General features: G+C 39.2%; 1 pseudogene, besides 4 other annotated features; it reads left to right on the forward strand.

The window, feature by feature from the left end:
* Positions 1-13,424, forward strand: part of NEPNP (nephrocan, pseudogene) — a 42,160-nt pseudogene that overhangs the window by 11,772 nt on the left and 16,964 nt on the right.
* Positions 902-1,642: an enhancer, noted in NCBI's record as "H3K27ac hESC enhancer chr6:117936764-117937504 (GRCh37/hg19 assembly coordinates)". NCBI's record gives its function as "activates a minimal SCP1, AML or CMV promoter by ChIP-STARR-seq in naive and primed H9 embryonic stem cells {active_cell/tissue: H9 hESC(naive and primed)}" and the evidence as "EXISTENCE:reporter gene assay evidence [ECO:0000049][PMID:30033119]".
* Positions 1,347-1,641: a silencer, noted in NCBI's record as "tiled region #8561; K562 Repressive non-DNase unmatched - State 23:Low". NCBI's record gives its function as "represses a minimal TATA promoter and a strong SV40 promoter by Sharpr-MPRA in K562 cells {active_cell/tissue: K562}" and the evidence as "EXISTENCE:reporter gene assay evidence [ECO:0000049][PMID:27701403]".
* Positions 1,671-2,280: an enhancer, noted in NCBI's record as "active region_25010". NCBI's record gives its function as "activates an Ori minimal core promoter by ATAC-STARR-seq in GM12878 lymphoblastoid cells {active_cell/tissue: GM12878}" and the evidence as "EXISTENCE:reporter gene assay evidence [ECO:0000049][PMID:35858748]".
* Positions 2,301-2,380: an enhancer, noted in NCBI's record as "active region_25011". NCBI's record gives its function as "activates an Ori minimal core promoter by ATAC-STARR-seq in GM12878 lymphoblastoid cells {active_cell/tissue: GM12878}" and the evidence as "EXISTENCE:reporter gene assay evidence [ECO:0000049][PMID:35858748]".

Here is a 13,424-nt window from a genome sequence, read left to right on the forward strand (position 1 = left end):
AGGGTTGTGAAACAGGTTATCAAGAATACAAAAGTCTCAGATAGGGAAAAATAAAAGGTTTTTATAAATCTATAAAATGTACTTCTATCGGCATGCCTAATACATTTAGGTATTTATGCATTGCCAACACAATATTTCACTACTGATATAAAAGAGGTCTAATTAATTGGCTTAAGAAAATAAAAACACTTGAATCAGATCCTTTATCAGGAAAAAAGAAAAGACTAGTCAAATGCTTTCTTATTTACATAAGCAAAATCTTTAGTAAATAAGCTAGCTTTAAAATTATTGGTAAAGTAATATTAGAAATGTCTGAAGAATTGCCAGCATACATATTTGTTGCATTTATTAATCAAGCAATTTCATACTTATCCCTGCCAAATACTACAAGGTGTCAAAATTGGGCATAGAGGTTACGAAACTATAAACCCGGCCCAAGACAGAATGATCTTTGCTTGTGTAATTTTTAATAAATAAGACATTGATATTGGTTTAATAAAGATAGCTACATCTTGAATTTAGTAAGATTACCATAACTTCTAATCTTGCAGCTTTAGCTGGTCTAGTCCACAGATGTAAAAAGTAAAGCAGAGGTTCCTCTTCAAAGACTTTCCTCCCCATTTAATTAGGAATAAATAGTAACTTCTCTTAGAAGCAAAATTTATTCAAAGACCTGTGCTAACATTCTTAAATATCTGCTAGCTGTGATAAAGAAATCAATGCACTTTATGCTCTTAGCTCCCACAATTTAGCCTAAATATTTGCCCTGACATACTTATACTGGTCCAAGCAAGCATTAGGTCATAGCATATTCCTCTTCCTTATTTGAAGCTGTTTTTACCTTTCTCAGCATTCCACAAGTTACTTCTTCCTTCCTTTGTTCCCCTCTACCTTTGCCTCTTTTAAAAAGTTCTAAGTTGCTAACCAGTCGGGACAAATACAGAATGTAAGGTCCCATTCCAGCCAGTGGAAACTGGACACAGCAGTAGGATGGACATGTCAGGTTATAAATAACCCTGTCTCCTTTGTTCGGTGTGCTCTCATGGCAAAACTGCTGGTGAGTGTATCATTTCTACAGAAAGTATAAAAATGGCCTTGCTGAGTAAATTAAATTTATGTTCAAGTGCTATTTCTTTATGGCACTGGGGAACAAGCATTTCAAACAATTCGGTGGCAATCCATATGGGGATGTATTCTTCTCCAGGGGCGGTCTCCAGTCCTCTCTCCTGAGGGAGTGTGCTCTTCTGCCTCACTGCGGTGGCCTCAGGGATGAGAAATTGAGACCCACCCAGTGTGACGAATAAACTCGGACTCTCAGCAACGCAGAGAAAAGAAAAGAAAGAAACTGGCCAGCAAGGTAGCCACATACCGTGGTGACAACTCCATGCACAGACCAAGGAAGGAGAAGCCGCAGGGGCCAGTAAAGTATTTCCTTGGTGGTCGGGACTAAGGAAAAAGCCACAGGACTGTAAAGCATTCCTTGGTTAGGACATACCAAGGAGAGAGAAACCACAGGGGCGGTAAGCATTCCTTAGTTGGGACTAGGGAAAGAAAGCCGCAGCAGGGCCGTGAAGTATTCCTTAGTCGGGATGTCTTGCAGGTTAAAAAGAGGTGAGAAATACCCATGGGGGCGGGGCTTGAACCTCAGAAAGAGGTGAGAAATCCCCATGGGGGGGCTGAACTTCAGAAACAGGTGAGAAATCCCCATGAGGTGGGCAGGATGGGGGAGTTAAACCTCAGAAAAAAGTGAGAAATCCCCATGGTGGGGGGCGCTGAACCTCAGAAACAGGTGAGGAATCCCAATGTGGGGGGTTGAACCTCAGAAAGAGGTGAGAAAGCCACGTGGAGGGGTTGAACCTCAGAAAGAGGTGAGAAATCCCCATGAGGGGGGGTTGAACCTCAGAAAGAGGTGAGAAATCCCCATGAGGGGGGATGGAACCTCAGAAAGAGGTGAGAAGTCCCCATGAGGGGGGGTTGAACCTCAGAAGGAGGTGAGACATCCCCATGGCAGGGAGTTGAGCCTCAGAAAGAGGTCAGAAGTCCCCATGAGGGGGAGTTGAGCCTCAGAAAGAGGTGAGAAATCGCCATGGTGGGGGTTGAACCTCAGAAAGAGGTGAGAAATCCCCATGGGGGGGGTTGAACCTCAGAAAGAGGTGAGAAATCCCCATGACGGGCATTTGAAACTCAGAAAGACGTGAGAAATCCCCACGAGGGGGTTTGAGCCTCAGAAAGAGGTGAGAAATCCCCACGGGGGGGGGGGGGGGGTTGAGCCTCAGAAAGAGGTGAGAAATCCCCATGGGGGGGTGTTGAGCCTCAGAAAGAGGTGAGAAATCCCCATGGGGGGTGGGGGTTGAGCCTCAGAAAGAGGTGAGAAATCCCCATGAGGGGCTTTGAACCTCAGAAAGAGGTGAGAAATCCCCATGGGAAGGGGGGGTTGAAGCTCAGAAAGAGGTGAGAAATCCCCATGAGGGGCTTTGAACCTCAGAAAGAGGTGAGAAATCCCCACGAGAGGGTTTGAACCTTAGAAAGAGGTGAGAAATCCCCATGGGGGGGGTTGAACATAAGAAAGAGGTGAGAAATCCCCATGAGTGGGGTTGAACCTCACACAAACCTCCCGTAGTAAGAAAAATATTCAGAACCCCCTTTTCTTTCCCTTTAGGGGAAGAAACAGTAGCTCCACTCCCGCTGGTCCCTCCCCTAGGGGAAGGGGAAAGAGAGGGGAAAACAGCAGCACAGGTCACTGGCAAAGACAAAGGAAAGACCAGCAGAGAGGAAAAAGAAACTAGGAGAGGAATTCAGAGAGAAAGAAAGCAAAAACAGCAAGCACAGCACCAAACAGCAAGGCAGGCATGCCAAGAGTTAGGTCCCACTCCCCAGCCTGGCTCTATGTGAAAAAGAGGGCAGGGACCAGTGCCAGGGGGAGAGCAGAGGAGGTGAAAGGGGCATAATTCTTGCAATTTGTGGCAGGCATCTGCCAAGCCTCTGGGCTGGTGACTGCCCGGGGCCCGGACTGCAGCTGCGCAAATCCCACCCACCCCGAGAAACTAAGTAAGAAGAAAGGAAAAAAGCAAAAAGGGGAATTGGGAGAAAAAAAAATAGGAGAAATAGATGGCAGCATGTGCACAGGGGTGGGGCCCATGCTGTGGCCTGGCCCCGCTGGTGGCAGGAGTGGGAGAACTCGGGAGGGGAAAGGGAAACGGGATGACACAGAGAGAGAGGAAAATAGAGTGCAAATGATAGAGAAATCAAGGGAAAGAGTAAGAAAGAGAGAAACTGGAGGAGACAGAAATCAAAGGAAGACACAGAGGGTGAAACTAGGAAAAGAAATAATGTAAAAGGAAGGCAGAAAGTTAAGACATGTTGAAGATTGTCTGTGAAAGTCATAAGAAATGCTATAAAAGGGAATTTATGCAAGAAATATTGTATAATTTAAATAATTAGGCCTCTTGGATGTAAAATTATTTTTAAAAACCCAGATTATGTACAAGGTATGTAAGAAAGATAAAATATACTTTTAATAACAGGATTATAAGGAGGCATAAGAATATGGATTTTTACCTACATTAAAAGGTTTAAAAAATTTTGTTTTAAAGGTTTAAACAAGTTTTAAAATGTTAATTGTAAAGGAAATTCTTTGTGTAAACATATTGGCTAAAGCTAAAGGGGTATCATCCAGTTTTTCTGTGAACTGGACATTAACATAAAAGCACAGTAAATTTTTCTTAAAGCACTAACCTGCTCTTTAACAAAAATTATAAAAAGTTAAAAAGAGTCTATAAAAGTCTTACCTTATAGTCAGACATTAAAAGTGGAAATAATGACAATAAGATTTTATAAAAATTAAGTTTCACATTAATAGCACATTAATATAAAGGTAAAATTTAACTTATCTGGTATAAAATCATACAAAAAACATTGTCAAATATAAAGTGGTGTTTAGCTTTCCTTCTTTCTTTTTTTTTTTTTTTGAGACAGAATCTTACTCTGTCGTCCAGACTGGAGTGCAGTGGTGTGATCTCGGCTCACTGCAAGCTCCACCTCCTGGGTTCCCACCATTCTCCTGCCTTAGCCTCCTGAGTAGCTGGAACTACAGGTGCCTGCCACCATGCCTGGCTTTTTTTTTTTTTTTTTTTTTTTTATTAGAGATGGGGTTTCACTGTGTTAGCCAGTATGGTCTTGATATCCTGACCTCGTGATCCGCCCGCCTCAGCCTCCCAAAGTGCTGGGATTACAGGTGTGGGCCACCGCACCCAGCCTGGTGTTTAGCTTTCTTAAGTCCCAAAAGGCAGCCAGGTAAGTCACAAGGCCCCTCAACCCCAAGGCCACAGTGTGCAGGGGCGGTGAAGGCCACAAGAAGGCCAAGACATTAAAAGGGAGCAGGGCTGCAGCATGCCCTGGGTGGTGCTGAGCAGGAATGGAGTGGGAGGCATCACCATGGGGCCTCAAGCCCCAGGATATGCAGCAGAAATTATATACTTAATTTATCTTCCACTTTCCCTTCCCTTGGAACTAAAAGTCTTTTAGTACAGGTACCACCCCTAGAAATCCAGCACACAAGCACCAGCCTGAAAACCAAGTCCTTATCAAAACATAGAAAAACCTCAAGCCACCCTGGGAAGAACCCTATTTTATGCTGTTAACCACTGAGACTGCCGTCCACACAGCCAAGAGAAAAATGGACCCAACATACTCAAGTCAAGAAAACATCCTCCTCTCAGAATCATGCATTACTGTACTAGGATCAGGCCCTAAGTTAAAGAAAGCTTAACTTTCATATACCTTCTATATTGCTTCCTTTCCTTTCCTTATTCTGTCACTAGTTCCTTTGTTATTAATATAACTAAGTCTGACACACCTTAGACCATTGCCTTTAATGCTTGCTCTGTCATACCTTGTGGAAATGTAAAAGATCAATAACAGCTAGCCTTTTTACACAAATATTTATGTCCCAGCCCTCTAATTGACACAGTTTCCCCTAGCACTCATTGTTGTAATGACCTAAAGCCAAGATGCTGATTTTCTGCTCCTACGGCCTGGCAACCTTGTAGTAAATGGGACTCCATCCTTTAAACTACTCAGGAGCAAAGTTGGACTTCCACGAAAAAGATTTGTGCAGATCTAAAACCCCTCATCTATTTCACTAAAACGGCTACCCCTTGTGACTGTCAGCCGTATCAGTGTAACCCTGTCCTTCTCTGTATCACCACCTCTACCTTAACTAACTCTAGACCTGCCCTTAGTCACTTCTATGGTATGGGGATTGACATAAATGGAAAAGACCCCCTAGGTATTTTTAAAATATGCATTATTCCCCCATCTTCCCTTCTTCAGTAGCCTCAGTTCTAGATCCCACACCGGGTGCTCCTACATCTAATAAAACTAGGGTGCCTATTGTAAAAATAATAGAGCTAAGAGAGACCTTAGCCATCAAGACAAAATATCAAGATGCAAATGCCTGGTTGGAATGGATTAAATACTCTGTTCACACTTTAAATAAAAGCGATTATTACGCTTGTACGCATGGTAGGCCAGAGGCCCAGATTATCCCCTTTCCACTCAGATGGTCTCCTCGTCAACCAGATATGGACTGTATGGTGGGTCTTTTTCAGAATCCCACTGCTTGGGATAATCCATCATGCTGAGCTCTCTCTGCAATTTCCTGAAATTCAACACCCTGCAGGTCAGCCCCTGAGGGCAATCCAGCTTCCACCTCTAAATGCCAAGTTTACTTCATGCATCTCATGGGAGGGGGAAAATTTGGTGTTCCTTGGAAGCATAAAAGGATGCAAGGAGCTCAAGCCTTTCCAAGAGCTTGCCCATCCATCCATGCTTAGCCATCCCCAAGCAAATGTATGGTGGTACTGTGGAGGACCTTTACTGGACACCTTGCCAAATAATTGGAGGAGTACTTGGGCTCTAATCCAATTGGCTATCCCCTTCACCCTGGCATTTCATCAATCTGAAAAGGTAAAAACAAAACACTGCAGGCCAAAGGAAACTCCTTATGAATCCTTTAATCCTCAGGTTTACATGAATGCTATTAAGGTCCTGTGAGAATGCCAAATAAGTTTAAAGCACAAAATCAAATAGCTGCAGAATTTAAATCCACGTTGTTCCGGTAGGTAAATAAAAAAAAATTAGACTACATAAACTATATCTATTACAATCAGCAATGATTCATAAATTACACTGGGGATGCCATCAAAGAGATAGCTAAGCAATTAGGACCTAGAAATCAGATGGCCTAGAAAAATAGAATAGCTTTAAATATAACATTAGCAAAAAAAGTTGTTTGTGTCATAATTAAAACTCAATGTTGTACCTTTGTTCCTAATAATACTGCCCCGACGGAACTATGACAAAAGCGCTACAAGGATTAACAGCCCTATCTGATAAACTTGCCAAAAAGTCTAAAATAAATAACCCTTTTTCTAAAATGATGAAACATTGGTTCAGTGGATAAAATAAAATTTTAACATCAATTCTCACCTTGTTTGTTCTTGTTATTGGTGTACTTATTCTTGTAGGCTGTTATATTATTCACTGCCTTCAAAGTTTTATACAAAAACTTGTCTCTACCACTCTTACAGAGTTAACTCCTAACTCTCCTCCACCCTATTTGGAAAAATTACTTCTCTTAGAAGGACAAACAAAGCAATTAAGTCAAAACATATTAAAGAAGTTTGAAGAGGAATTATAAAATAAAAAGGGGGAATTGTAAAAAGTAAATAGAGGTTCCTCTTCAAAGACTTTCCTCCCCATTTAATTAGGAATAAATAGTAACTTCTCGGTTAGACGCAAAATGTATTCAAAGACCTGTGCTAACATTCTTAAATATCTGCTAGCCATGATAAAGAAATCAATACACTTTATGTTCTTAGCTCCCACAATTTAGCCTAAATATTTGCCCTAGCATGCTTATACTGGTCCAAGCAAGCATTAGGTCACAGCCTATTCCTCTTCCTTATTTGAAGGTGTTTTTACCTTTCTCAGTATTCCACAAGTTACTTCCTCCTTCCTTTGTTCTCATCTACCTTTACTTCTTTTAAAAAGTTCTAAGTTGCTAGCCAATCAGGACAAATACAGAATGTAAGGTCCCGTTCTAGCCAGTGGAAACTGGACAGAGTGGTAGGGTGGACACGTCAGGTTATAAATAACCCTGTCTCCTTTGTTCCTTGTGCTGTCTTGGCAAAACTGCTAGCGAGTGTATCCTTTCTACAGAAAGTATAAAAATGGCCTTGCTGAGTAAATTAAATTTATGTTCAAGTGCTATTTCTTTACAGCACCGGGGAACAAGCATTTCAAACAATTGTAAGGTTTGTTTTGGGAAAAAACTGTTATTGTGTTTGTTTCAAAGCTGAACTGTAAACTAAGTTTCTCCTGTTAAAGCGAACTAAATATGGCCTGAGAAGGGACTCTGTACTTCTATATATGAGGCCATGTGGACGAACTGCAACCTAGTTTAATAGGTAGACAATATTGAAAACCTAACTTAGGAGTATGTGCCTGTAACAATAGCTGAGTCTTAGCCAGTCCCAGTAGCCATACTTCAACAATTCATACAGTGCTGAGTATTCAAACTGTGTTCAAATAAGGCAAATGCCAACCTGTAACCAATCCAGCCATTCTGTACCTCACTTCTGATTTCTGTATGTCATTTCCCATTTTTGTCTATAAATCTTCCACCATGTTGCTGTGCTGGAGTCTCTAAATCTGCTGTGATTCTGGGGGCTGCCTGATCCATGAATCTCTCATTGCTCAATTAAACTCCTTTAAATTTATTTTGGCTGAAGTTTTTCTGTTATCAGACGGTATCAGAAGTGGGATCCAAAGTAGAGCTTCTAGCAAGCCCTAGGAGCATTGAGTGAACAAACAAGGTACCTGCAGGACCCACTTTTGTCCATTAATCTCTCAGAGCAGCTGGGGATGATGGGTAAGCTCCCTCTCTCTCAGATTTCAGAGCTCCATGGATTTGTGCTTTTTGCCCTCTGAGTTTCTTCAAGCAACTTTCTGATCCAAACTGGGTTTAAGTCACAACAGAATCTGGGCTGGGTCCAGGAATGGATTTGATCCAGGAATTAACTGGCTTGGATTAAGTTAGAGGCTCCATATATCTGACTTGGTCAGAAAGGAACTGGTATTAAGCAGTAATATTGCAGGGGTTATAAAATTTGGCTTTTGAAAATTCATGGGGATTTTTGTGTTCTACCCCTTTGTTTCCTTTTGCTTGCATGCTTAGGAAAAATCATTGGCTAAGTCAATCAAGAGAACCTGAGATTAAAGCCAATATTTTAGGTAAAAATGGGATCCTTAATTTCTGGAAAACTGAGTTCTTTCTAGCTTATACATTATGCCCAGAAGGCAGTGAAGTCTTACAGAAACGGCAAAATCTTACTAAAGGTAACTTACTGTAGAACATTCCAAATGAACAACAATTCATTGAAGTACATTTGAAAATGAGGGCTCTCAGTAAAGTCCCTTTTGGCTAAGAATGGGTTTGGCACTATGGCATGTTAACCGCTATTCCCTTTGGATTAATCTGTCTTACACTTTTTTCTGACAGATATGGGTGACAGGATAAGGCATTTACAGGACCATGGGATATGGGGAGCTTTTTCCTCCCCAAAAGGGGAAACTTGAGACCTGATGGGACTGCTGGAAAAGATCCCTTTGCTACTGACAAGTGGCTGCCTGAACTTTTCAGTGTCACTGCAGTGGGTAGGTCTTTATCTGGCCTCCTTGAGCTATTCACCTTCCCCACCCTGCCACAGGCAATACTTTTCTCTCTCTACTTTTCCTTTCCTATCTTTTCTGTTACACAGGGCAACCATCTTGCCCAGAAACCACGTGTTGAAATTCCTAGTCAGAGGTTGGATTAAAGATGATGGGGGTCTCATCTGAGGGCAAATTTAAGCCTTGACAGTTTGATATTGGGAGTTAAGCAGAGTGGCTAATGTCTACGTTTCATCACACATATTTTGCTCTGGGCAGAACAAAAAAAAGATAATTTTCCTTTTTTATGCGGCTTGGCCCCTAGGTTGATGGTGCAGCAAGCTAGGTCACTAGGGCTGCTTAGGGAAGCCTAGTATGCTGGCAAAAGTGTTAGAATTCCTAGGTAGTCAGATTTCTGGCTTTTCTCCCTCTTTTTCTCTGTGCAAACTGGTTAAATGAGGGGTAAAAAGATACTGCTTATCTCCTCTGTAAAGTTTTGATTAATATGAAAAAATTCTGAGGCTGGTCTTAAGCTGTAGTGAATCTGGTGTGCTTTGTGTGTCTTTCTCTATTGTTCTGTAATAAAGAGTGGTACCTTAGGATAAAATGCGTGCCTAAAACCCCATAAGCCTGATGTTCAAGATGGCCCAGCAAAATGTTCAGTTATGTACTTGGGAGATTGAACTTGTAACCATGTGGCCGTGCTTTCTCTTTTCACAATGGTGGCCTGAGTTCAGGGTTCAATCCCTAGCTTAGGGGATGAGCCTTTCTGGTTGATATTTGGGTGAACTTGGCCATTTTTTGATTCTCTTCCCCTCCACCAGTTGTCTTGAATTTTCCTTTCTCAAAGCACCTGTGAGGTTACTTTTGGTAAAGTTTAAAAGCCAGAAATATCAGCTGTTTGGCCTGGCTAAAGTTAGGTAATAAGAAATTTTAAAAGGATTTTGTTAAAGAGTGCTATGGTTAAAAGTCAGCTTAATTAAAAGTGAATATTGAAGCTCTAAGAGCCTGGGACTCCTTGGGAAAAACAGAAGACACCAGAGACCCTTTCCTGGCCCTGTTCTTTCAAGGACTCCACCCTAAAGCCAGTAATCCAATTAAGAAACTTTAAAACTGGCAAATGAAAAGTCTTACAACTGCTGTAGTAATCTTCTTCTGTCTGTGTAGTTATATATGTGTTGTGTGTGTAATGTTTATATATAAGAGCTCTAATTAACTGGCTTAAATCAAAGTGCTTATATAAAATATTTGGAAGAAAAAAACTGTAATGACTTTTAGTTCATGTAACTTTAGTAATCTTTGGGAAATAAACACAGCTTTAAAGATTATTAATAAAATAAATACATTTAGTCTAAATCATGCAGGTCAGATATTAGGTTTGCTTAATGCTTTAAGGCCATAAACTGCTTTGACTTTTGGAAATTACTCAATTTCTTTTGGAGGCATTAAATTCTAAATAAGGCCTGGGGATATGTGATATTAGCCTTACCCCCTAGCTATGCAAAGACAGTTATAAAGAAAAATGTTTTATATAAGAAATAATATTGTATGGTAAATTCATGTCCTAAAGTAAAATGATGGTTGTTTAAAAGGAGGGATGTTTAGGACAAGTCAGAAAGTCCAAGTATGTCATAGATGTTCTATTTAAGTTGCAAAGGGATTTGTAAAGGAAAATTTATGCACCAAAAGTGAAAGTTGCTAAGAATTACCATTATAACATGTAATTAAGACTACTAAAAAAATAGGTTTACATGCAAGGTGTGTGAGGAGAATGAAATGTGTTTTTGGTAAGAGACTAGAAGAAGGCAGGGAATGTACAATTTTGTCTAGAGAGTTAAAGGACTATTTTAAATTAAATAAGATAAAGCTAAAGGTCTAAATGAGTTTTGGAAGGTTTGTAAAAATGAACCTTGTAAAAGAAATGATATGTGTGAACATATTAACTAAATTTAAAGGAGCACTATGCGGTTTTTCCATAAATTGAACATTGAATAAAAGCAAAACATGGTTTTCTTAAAGCACTAATCTGCTGTTTAACAAAAATTTGTAAAGAGTTATAAAAGGTTCATAAAAATCTTGCCTTATGGTCAAACTGATTAAGCTTGGATAGATTTATCTATGACCTTTTATTAAAAATTGGTGCTGATATTAATAGCAACTAATGCAAGGGTGAAATTTGGCCTTCTCACTTGAACAAGATTTTCATGTAATATTAAAAGATAATAAAAAATATTTGTTTGCCTTTTCTTTTTTTTTTTTGAGATGGAGTCTCGCTCTGTCACCCAGGTTGGAGTGCAGTAGCGTGATCTCGGCTCACTGCAAGCTCTGCCTCCCAGGTTCACGCCATTCTCCTGCCTCAGCCTCCCAAGTAGCTGGGACTACAGGCACCTGACACCATGCCCAGCTAATTTTTTGTATTTTTATTGGAGAAGGGGTTTCACCGTGTTAGCCAGGATGGTCTCGGTCTCCTGACCTTGTGATCTGCCCGCCTCGGCCTCCCAGAGTGCTGGGATTACAGGTTGTTTGCCTTTTAAATACACTAACAAAAAAAGAAAAAGAAGAAAAAGAAGGGAAAGACAAAGACAGATTGTTTGGAAAGCTAAGTCTTCCCTCCATTAATGACTAAAGGTTTTGACTTCTTAAAAAATTTTGAGTCATCATTTTGGCTAAATGAATAACTTGGGGTGACCTGGAATTCTAGTTAATAATATCAAGTGTTTTAAACCTTTAACATATTTAATAGGCTTCCCAAAATCAAATTTTAGCTTCAAAATAGTCTTCTTTGGGTTCTGTTTTTTTGTAGCCTGATGCTAACGTTTTCTTAAAGATCTCAAGGACATGTTTTCTTCTAGCATAATATTCTGTGCAGTACAGAAGGTCTTTTCTTTTCCTTTTAGTAACTGGCCTAACGAATTTTACATTTTACCAAAATAATTCCTATGCTATGATTATTGAGTTAGGTTTGCTTAGGAAAAACTGAGATTTAAAAAAAATTAATTAAGGTTATTAGATTCTTGAATCTTCCTGTCATCTCAGACCTGGTAGAAGATGCCAATCAAAATTAACTGCATTAAAGCCTCATCTTTAATTAACTGCATTAAAGCCTCAAAATTATCTGCGTTCCTGAAACACAGGGTCAGAAATTAAAGTTATTCAACTCCTCAAGGCCCAGGGACAATCATGGAAGAGGGGGGCATGTGAGATTGTAAGGGCCAATTTTGAGAGATAAAATAAGTTATTTCTCTATAAACTAATCATTAATGTCAAAGGCACACTGATGCAAGACCAGCATATGAGCCCCCATGTCAGATTAACAAGGTTTTCATAAAACATTAGATGACTCCTTAATAAAGGTTACAAAGGTTATAAAGACTTATGGAAGTTATAAATTAAAATCAAGATGAAATTTTATAGATTGTTTATAAAATTTTGGAAAACAAATTTAATTGGCTTCATGCTGTTTTATTAGGGCTTATTGTTTGGAAAATTAGTCTCTCTCAAAGAATGAATGTTTTTGCCTTTTTTTTAAAAAAATCCTTGAGTTATCACTTTGGTTAAATGAATGACTTATTTTACAATGACCTGTAATCCTATTTTGTAATATCGAGTGTTTTAAACCTTTGGTAATTGACAAACTTTCCAAAATCAAATTATAAATTTTGTATCTTTCTGACCTAATTAATCCTTTAAGATGTTATTAATAAGTTCCCTAAACTCCAAAAATAACATATTTCATTTATTTGGTATAAAAATTACACAGGAAGCATTGTCAAATATAAAATGGTGTTTGATTTTCTTTGGGTTGTATTTGATGACATATTTGGCTTATTTGGTATAAAAATTATACAGGAAGCATTGTCAAATATAAAATGGTGTTTGATTTTCTTTGGGCTGTATTTGTATAACTATGTTATTCGTATGTATTCTAAAATTATGAGAATTTCTATAATTTTGATGTGACTTAATGTATGTTATCAGTAATAATTATAATTGTTATGTTAAATTATTGTGTGCCACAAGAGGTAACAAATTTCCTTGTCAATTGTGTCTTTGAGTATGGCTGCCCTGAAACTTTTTGCCATCCATGGACAATTACTGTCTTGTTTTGGTCCTCTTTAGAAGATGGTTTTATAGTCCTCTATAAACTCTAACAGGTGCTCTTGAATGCAGGTTTCTGATAACTTTCAAGATTGTGACATCAGAATAGAGGAAAACTTTCAGGACCCATGGAGAGCTGAAATGTTCATGAATATCAAGCAGAATAGGAATTAACTTCATGGACTAAACTAGTAGAAGGCTGAAGTAATCTTTTTAAGTTTTGCTTAAAACATTGGTGATCCTTTGTTTTGCTTTTCAGAGTCAACAACTTGTAAGCTATTTACAAATTTTAACAATTGAATAAAGTATACTCCTATGAACAAAATTTGGAGCATATTTTTTTCTCTCTACCTTATTTCTACAGAATATGGAAACTATTTGTGAGGATTCTTATCTTGTGACAATACAATTAGTAGCATAAGTGCAATAAGAATCTGTTTTCATTTGTAACAGGACACAGTTGGAGAACTGGTTATTTTACCAAGGCTTTTACTGGAATGGTGTGTTTTCCATTTAGGAATCAAACTTATTGAGCCAATAAAACTCCTTGGAAAAACTGTCTGCTTACCTTTGTCTACACAGTTCCTGTACAGGGTTCCTGACCTGTGGTAAGT

Source organism: Homo sapiens, chromosome 6 (assembly GCF_000001405.40).
Source record: "Homo sapiens chromosome 6, GRCh38.p14 Primary Assembly".
NCBI classification, from domain to species: domain Eukaryota; kingdom Metazoa; phylum Chordata; class Mammalia; order Primates; family Hominidae; genus Homo; species Homo sapiens.